The 8,306-nt window shown below is 58.4% G+C and overlaps 3 annotated features.

Moving 5' to 3' along the window:
• Positions 871 to 1,371: an enhancer, noted in NCBI's record as "H3K27ac hESC enhancer chr11:735153-735653 (GRCh37/hg19 assembly coordinates)". NCBI's record gives its function as "activates a minimal SCP1, AML or CMV promoter by ChIP-STARR-seq in primed H9 embryonic stem cells {active_cell/tissue: H9 hESC(primed)}" and the evidence as "EXISTENCE:reporter gene assay evidence [ECO:0000049][PMID:30033119]".
• Positions 1,372 to 1,872: an enhancer, noted in NCBI's record as "H3K27ac hESC enhancer chr11:734652-735152 (GRCh37/hg19 assembly coordinates)". NCBI's record gives its function as "activates a minimal SCP1, AML or CMV promoter by ChIP-STARR-seq in primed H9 embryonic stem cells {active_cell/tissue: H9 hESC(primed)}" and the evidence as "EXISTENCE:reporter gene assay evidence [ECO:0000049][PMID:30033119]".
• Positions 8,108 to 8,197: a silencer, noted in NCBI's record as "silent region_3022". NCBI's record gives its function as "represses an Ori minimal core promoter by ATAC-STARR-seq in GM12878 lymphoblastoid cells {active_cell/tissue: GM12878}" and the evidence as "EXISTENCE:reporter gene assay evidence [ECO:0000049][PMID:35858748]".

Here is an 8,306-nt window from a genome sequence, read left to right as displayed (position 1 = left end):
CACGCCCACCCCGGCCCTGCTTTCCCCTCAGACCCCGTGAAGACCCTCAGGCGGGATTCCCGCTCCGGCAATGGCGCCCACTCAGACCCCGTGAAGACCCTCAGGCGGGATTCCCGCTCCGGCAATGGCGCCCACTCAGACCCCGCGAAGACCCTCAGGCGGGTTCCGGCTCCGGCAATGGCGCCCACTCAGATGCTGTGAAGACCCTCAGGCGGGGTTCCGGATCCGGCAATGGCGCCCACTCAGACCCCGTGAAGACCCTCAGGCGGGTTCCGGATCCGGCAATGGCGCCCACTCAGACCCCGCGAAGACCCTCAGGCGGGGTTCCGGATCCGGCAATGGCGCCCACTCAGACCCCGTGAAGACCCTCAGGCGGGTTCCGGATCCGGCAATGGCGCCCACTCAGACCCCGTGAAGACCCTCAGGAGGGGTTCCGGATCCGGCAATGGCGCCCACTCAGACCCCGTGAAGACCCTCAGGCGGGTTCCCGCTCCGGCAATGGCGCCCACTCAGACCCCGCGAAGACCCTCAGGCGGGGTTCCGGATCCGGCAATGGCGCCCACTCAGACCCCGTGAAGACCCTCAGGCGGGTTCCGGATCCGGCAATGGCGCCCACTCAGACCCCGTGAAGACCCTCAGGAGGGGTTCCGGATCCAGCAATGGCGCCCACTCAGACCCCGTGACGACCCTCAGGCGGGTTCCGGCTCCGGCAATGGCGCCCTCTCAGACCCCGTGAAGACCCTCAGGTGGGATTCCCGCTCCGGCAATGGCGCCCACTCAGACCCCGCGAAGACCCTCAGGCGGGTTCCGGCTCCGGCAATGGCGCCCACTCAGACCCCGTGAAGACCCTCAGGCGGGTTCCCGCTCCGGCAATGGCGCCCACTCAGACCCCGTGAAGACCCTCAGGCGGGGTTCCGGATCCGGCAATGGCGCCCACTCAGACCCCGCGAAGACCCTCAGGCGGGGTTCCGGATCCGGCAATGCCGCCCACTCAGACCCCGCGAAGACCCTCAGGCGGGTTCCGGATCCGGCAATGGCGCCCACTCAGACCCCGTGAAGACCCTCAGGCGGGGTTCCGGATCCGGCAATGGCGCCCACTCAGACCCCGTGAAGACCCTCAGGCGGGGTTCCGGATCCGGCAATGGCGCCCACTCAGACCCCGTGACGACCCTCAGGCGGGTTCCGGCTCCGGCAATGGCGCCCTCTCAGACCCCGTGAAGACCCTCAGGTGGGATTCCCGCTCCGGCAATGGCGCCCACTCAGACCCCGCGAAGACCCTCAGGCGGGTTCCGGCTCCGGCAATGGCGCCCACTCAGACCCCGTGAAGACCCTCAGGCGGGTTCCCGCTCCGGCAATGGCGCCCACTCAGACCCCGTGAAGACCCTCAGGCGGGGTTCCGGATCCGGCAATGGCGCCCACTCAGACCCCGCGAAGACCCTCAGGCGGGGTTCCGGATCCGGCAATGGCGCCCACTCAGACCCCGCGAAGACCCTCAGGCGGGTTCCGGATCCGGCAATGGCGCCCACTCAGACCCCGTGACGACCCTCAGGCGGGGTTCCGGATCCGGCAATGGCGCCCACTCAGACCCCGTGAAGACCCTCAGGCGGGTTCCGGCTCCGGCAATGGCGCCCACTCAGACCCCGTGAAGACCCTCAGGCGGGTTCCCGCTCCGGCAATGGCGCCCACTCAGACCCCGTGAAGACCCTCAGGCGGGTTCCGGCTCCGGCAATGGCGCCCACTCAGACCCCGTGAAGACCCTCAGGCGGGTTCCCGCTCCGGCAATGGCGCCCACTCGGCTGTGTCAACGACCCGTGGCTTCGTGGCTGTCCTGGGAGCCAGCGCTTTCACGCTTGCACACTTCTATAAATAGTTATACATTTTTTTGAGACAGGGTCTGGCTGGGTTGCCTAGGCTGTAGTGCAGTGGTGTGATCACAGCAACCTCCATCTCCTGCACTCAAGTGATCCTCCTGCCTCAGTCTCCCAAGTAGCTGAGACTACAGGCACGTGCTACCGTGCCCAGCTAATTTTTGTGTGTGTCTGTTTTTTTTTTTTCTAGACAGAGTCTCGCTCTGTCACCAAGGCTGGAATGCAGTGCCGCAGTCTTGGCTCACTGCAACCTCCACACCTCGGGTTCAAGAGATTCTCCTGCCTCAGCTTCCCAGGTAGCTGGTATTGCAGGTGCCTGCCACCACTCCTGGATAATTTTTGTATTTTAGTAGAGACGGGTTTTCACCATGTTGCCCAGGCTGGTTTCAAACTCCTGAGCTCAAATAATGCATCTGCCTCAGCCTCCCAAAGTGCTAGGATTGCAGGTGTGAGCCACTGCACCTGGCCCAGTACATCTTTGTTAAACAAAAAATCTAGTGAGCAGAGTGGCACTGGTATCCACGTTTGCAAAATCTCCATCATGCCGGTTTCCTAGGCCCAGGGGTCCTCCTCCCGGGGCCTGCCTAGGCCTCTGGGAATCATTGTTCTAGGAGAAGTATGTGAGGAAAATCTGGCTTCATCCAGATTTGTAGTCGGAACAGGGAAGGGCACCCTGATAGCCTTTCTGGATCATTGTGGACCTTCTGTGACTGGCTCTTAGGCCCATGAGTGATGCTGGAATGTCCCGCCTTGGTCGTGGGGTTTCCCAGACCCCCAAGTGCTGACCCCTCCAATTTCAATAAGGAACATGCACGCTCCCTAACTGAGCCTATCAGAAGGAGCTTCAGGGCCAGGCACGGTGGTTCACGCCTGTAATCCCAGCACTTTGGGAGGCCGAGGCAGGCAGATCATGAGGTCCCAGCTACAAGGTCGGGCCACTGCACTCCAGCCTGGGTGACAGAGTGAGACTCGGTCTCAAAAAAAAAAAAAAAAAAGAGCTTCAGGTGGTGGAGCAGCCTTGCCTATGATGGCAGTTTCCAAAACTCAAATGTCCACTGGAAAATGCAGATTTATCACGGCAGCGAAGAGGGTCCGTTGTTTTCACTTTGTTCATTTTGGAGACAATGACTACCCACGTCTCGACACAAGAGGTTCTTTCAAGTAACCTGGGGAAGCTGGCCAGGTCAGTCACGGCTGGGACATGGCTCCCAGCTCTTCCCCGGGCAGCCCCAACACCTAGGCAGCAGGCGCCCGGGACGCCGGATGCTTACGCTTCCAGGTGAGACTGCATCAAATCAGTGACGTTTGCTGATTTGACTGTGTGTGTCGGGGAAGAATGGGGGCTGCTCATATTCGAGCAAAGGTGAGTGCGGTTGAGAAGGCAGGCTTCTGTGTTTCACGGGGCTGCCATGGCAAACGCCGCACACTGGGTGGTGTGAACAACAGACGCGTCTCCTCTCTTGGTTCTAGAGGCTGGAGTCTGAGATGCAGGCGTGGCCAGGGCTGGTTCCTTCGAGGCTGTGTGGAAATCTCTGCTCTGGGCCTCTCCAGGCTTCTGTGGGAGCTGCCGCTCCGTGTTGCTCCTTAGCATGTAGAAACCTCCCCCTCCTCCGGTGATCACCCCGATCGTGTCTGTGTCCACGTTTCCCCTTTTTATCTGTTGTTTTAATTTTTTTTTGCCCAGGCTGGAGTGCAGTGGTGGGATCTTGGCTCACTGCAACCTCCACCTCCCAGGTTCAAGCGATTCTCCTGTCTCAAGCCTCCTGAGTAGCTGGGATTACAGGTGCCCGCCACCACGCCCGGCTAATTTTTGTATTTTTAGTAGAGATGGGGTTTCACCATGTTGGCCAGGATGGTCTCGAACTCTTGACCTCAAGTGATCTGCCCGCCTTGGCCTCCCAAAGTGCTGGGATTACAGGTGTGAGCCACCTCACCCGGCCTCCCCTTTTGATATATTAGGGCTACCGTACTCCAGCATGGCCTCATCTTAATTACATCTGCAGTGACCCAAATAGGGCAACAGTCTGAGTTGCTGGGACAAGGACTGAAATATGAATTTCTGAAGGACATAATTCAACCCAGAGCACCTTTTTTTTTGAGACAGCGTCTTGCTCTGTCACCCAGGCTGGAGTTGCAGTGGCACCATCACAGCTCATTGCAGCCTTGAACTCCTGAGCTGAAACAATTCTCTCGAATCAGCCTCCTAAGTAGCTGGGACTACAGATGCACATCACCACACCTGGCTAATTTTTACATTTCTTTTTGAGACGGAGTCTTACTCTGTTGCCCAGGCTGGAGTGCAGTGGCGTGATCTCGGCTCACTGCAAGCTCTGCCTCCCGGGTTCACGCCATTCTCCTGCCTCAGCCTCCCGAGTAGCTGGGACTACAGGCGCCCGCCACCAGGCCAGGCTAATTTTTTGTATTTTTTGTAGAGATGGGGTTTCACTGTATTAGCCAGGATGGTCTCGATCTCCTGACCTTGTGGTCCGCCCGCCTCGGCCTCCCAAAGTGCTGGGATTACAGGTGTGAGCCACTGCGCCTCACCAATTTTTAAATTTTTAGTAGAGACAGGGTCTCGGTATGTTGCCCAGGCTAATCTCAAATTCCTGGGCTCAAACAATCTACCTGCTTTGGCCTCCCAAAGCACTGGGATTACAGGTGTGAGCCACGTGCCTGGCCTGCTTCTCAAGTCTTGCTATAAAAACAGTGTAGAGGGCCGGGCACGGTGGCTCACGCCTTTAATCCCAGCACTTTGGGAGGCCAAGGTGGGCGGATCACCTGAGGTCAGGAGTTCAAGATCAGCCTGACCAACATGGAGAAACCCCGTCTCTACTAAAAATACAAAACTAGCCAGGCGTGGTGGCAAGCGCCTGTAATCCCAGCTACTCGGGAGGCTGAGGCAGGAGAATCACTTGACCCAGGAGCCGGAGGTTGCGGTGAGCTGAGATCACGCCACTGCACTCCAGCCTGGGCAACAAGAGCAAAACTCTGTCTCAAAAAACAAGCAAACAAACAAACACCGTCTGGAGCTCACAATGCCCTGAAAGGGTCTTAGGTCTCCCAGAGACTGTCCTTGGTGTCTGCTCTGCTTGCCAGTCAGCATCCCCTCCAAGTGGCCGTCAGTGAATGCGAGTCTTTTAAAAAAATGTTTTCATTAAAAAAATTTTTTTTTGGCTGGGTGCAGTGGCTCACGCCTGTAATCCCAGCACTTTGGGAGGCCAAGGCAGGTTGATCACGAGGTCAGGAGATTGAGACCACTACATGGTGAAACCCCGTCTCTACTAAAAATACAAAAAATTATCCGGACGTGGTAGCACCCACCTGTAGTCTCAGCTACTTGGGAGGCTGAGGTAGGAGAATCAATTGAACCTGGGAGGCGGGGGTTGCAGTGAGCCGAGACTGCGCCACTGCACTCCAGCCTGGGTGACAGAGCAAAACTCTATCTAAAAAAAAAAAAAATTTTTTTTTGAGACAGGATCTCACTGTGTCGCCCAGGCTGGAATGCAGTGGTGCCATCTCAGCTCACTGCAACCTCTGCCTCCCAGGCTCGAGGGATCCTCCCCACTCAGCCTCCCGAGTAGCACAGGCAGTGAGACCACAGGCACTCACCAGCACGCCTGGCTAATTTAATAACTTTTTTTCTTTTCTTTTCTTTTTTTTGAGACAGAGTCTCTCTCTGTTGCCCAGGCTGGAGTGCAGTGGCATGATCTCTGCTCACGCAGTGGCGTGATCTCTGCTGACTGCAACCTCTGCCTCCCAGGTTCAAGCAATTCTCGTGCCTCAGCCTCCTCAGTAGCTGGGACTACAGGTGCCCGCCACCATGCCCAGCTAATTTTTTGTACTTTTAGTAGAGACGAGGTTTCGCCGTGTTAGCCAGGATAGTCTCAATCTCCTGACCTCGTGATCTGCCCACCTTGGCCTCCCAAAGTGCTGGGATAACAGGCATGAGCCACCGTGCCCGGCCTAATAATTTTTTTTTGTAGAGACAGGGTCTAGCCATTTGCCCAGGCTGGTCTCGAACCCCTGGGCTCAAGCTATCCTTTTGCCTTGGCCTCCCAAAGTGCTGGGATTACAGGTGTGAGCTACTGCGCCCGGCTGCAAGTCTTTAATTTTGCCAAAATCAAACTCATTGACTCCCTTTTTAAAATTTTCATTATTTTATTTTTGAAACAGAGTTTTGCTCTTTTGCTGGAGTGAAGTGGCATGATTTTGGTTCACTGCAACCTCTGCCCCCTGGGTTCAAGTGAGTCTCCTCCCTCAACCTCCCAAGTAGCTGGGATTACAGGCACGCGCCACCATGCCCGGCTAATTTTTGTATTTTTAGTAGAGATGGGGTTTCACCATGTTGGCCAGGCTAGTCTCGAACTCCTGACCTCAGGTGATCCACCTGCCTCGGCCTTCCAAAGTGCTGGGATTACAGGCGTGAGCTGCCGCGCCTGGTATCCACTGCTTTTGAAGTTTTGTACAGAAAATTCTTCTTCCCCTTTGTCACATGGATATCCTGGCATCTTCTGTGAACTTGGTCGTTTTGCCTCTCATGACGTCTAGTACTGCTGGGGCTGGTTCAGCTTTGTGGGGTTAGTGGGGGTCCCTGTTGTGTTTCTCCACACATTTTCCCAGCACCACTCTCACCACCTTCCTGGGTAACGGGTGCCCCGGGCTGGGACCATGGCATCCCCGCAGGTGTGAGGAACATCTTACTGTACGTGCTGCTGTGTCAACCTCTTGGGAAATCAACCGTTTTGTAATTTTTTTTTTTTTTAAAGAGACAGCCCTTCCTAAATGGCATGGGAAGCCCCTCTTGGGTTCTGCGGGGCCTGACTGGGCACGGGCGGACAGGGCCAGCTGTGGGGGAGGACAGAAGGGGAGCAAGCGCCACAAAGACATGCTTGTCCCGAGACAGACGGGCCTTGTTGGTGGAGATATTTGCTTGTGGCTACTGGTGGCCCCACTGGCAGCTCAGGCCACCCACCCTGAGGTCTGATGTTCAAAGCCCCGCCCTCCCTCCTCGCCCAGTGTGGACTCTCCCACACTCACGGCCAGACCCTCGGCAACCCTGGCCCCACCAGGGCCAGCACCAGCAGACCCTCCTTCTTTCTGTGGACCTGCCTGATGGGGAAGTGGGTAGGGAGGCCGGGGAGGGAGTGAGTGGTTAAGGACACGTTGGAACTAAGAGAGATTGCATGTTAACCCCAGCCCCTGCCCCAAACTCGGGCCTCGAGCAGGTGACCTGGCCCCTCTACGGGTCATTCTTATCCACGCCTGCCTCACGGGGCTGCCACTGGGGCCTCCGGAGGCCGCGGGCAGCACTCAAAACACCACAGGCCCCCAAGAGTGATGCCCTCAGGGCAGGAAGGGGGGCAATCCTCACCCCTGGGGCGGGTGGCCAGAGAGGACACAGAGAGCCAGCCCACCCGATGCCAGGTGACCCTGTGCCCATCACCAGGCCGGTGAGGTCGGTGGTCCCATCTGCTCTTGAGGGGGGTCTCAGGAGGTGGCAGGAAGCCCCTTGGAAGAAACGGGAGGTAATTTCTGGAAGCCCAGAGGTCCGAGCAGGCAGCTGGGGCCAGGGTGCCTCGGACTCAGGGCTCCTGGGGTGGGAGCCTGCTTGGGGCCTAGGGCTGGGATCTGGGGGCTGGAGTCTGGGGGTCTGGCTTCCTGGGGCTCCTCAGCTGTGCAGGTGGCAGAGTGGGGCACAGCAGGTAGGGGGCTCTAAATGGGGCTGGGGGAGGTGGACAGGGAGAAGGCTGAAGAAGCAGGTGTAGATCTGGGGCCCTCAGAAGCTGAGCAGCCCAGCCTGGAGGCTGCATATGAAGCCCAGACCATCCTGGTGGAGGAAGGGTCCTGTTGCTGGGAGTGGTTGGGGAGTGGGCAGCCTCCCTCACTTCCAAGGACTGGCATCCTGGGGCCCACAGAGGCCCCTTTTGGAGCAGATATAGCCCCGGTGCCTATCCCCGTCCTGAGGTGGTGGCTCAGCAGGCAGCGGGAGCTGCAGGTTGCAGGGAGGAGGGCCGGTGCCCCCATCCCTCCCCTTTTCCTCTTGGACCTGTCTCTCTCACTGCAGGGTCCATCTGACAGGGTGGGGGGGCCTCTTCCGGGGGCCTGGAGGAGTGGTGGTGGCCATCAAGCCCGGGTCGTGGCTCAGAGGGCACCAGACAATCCCTGCTGCCCCGACCAGACACTGTGGTTAAGACTTGGCCTAGTGTGGCCTGAGCTGTGAGTCAGGGCTTCTGTGGCCTGGTGTCCAGGCCTGGCTGGGTGGTGGACCAGGCAAGGGACACGCCCCCCCCAGCCCAGCCCCACAGTCGCCCCTGCCCAGGCCAAGACCCCAGGACTGTGTCCCCGGATGCTCCGCACCAGGGTTGGGTTCACGGCTGCTATGGGGACACATGGTTGTGGGTTGCCCCCTGCCACCAATCCAGGGCGAGGGCACCCCTG

The sequence above is a fragment of the Homo sapiens genome, chromosome 11 (genome assembly GCF_000001405.40).
Source record: "Homo sapiens chromosome 11, GRCh38.p14 Primary Assembly".
Classification (NCBI taxonomy): domain Eukaryota; kingdom Metazoa; phylum Chordata; class Mammalia; order Primates; family Hominidae; genus Homo; species Homo sapiens.
Note: the sequence above shows the minus strand (reverse complement) of the source record. Positions and strands in the feature narration are given on the sequence as shown.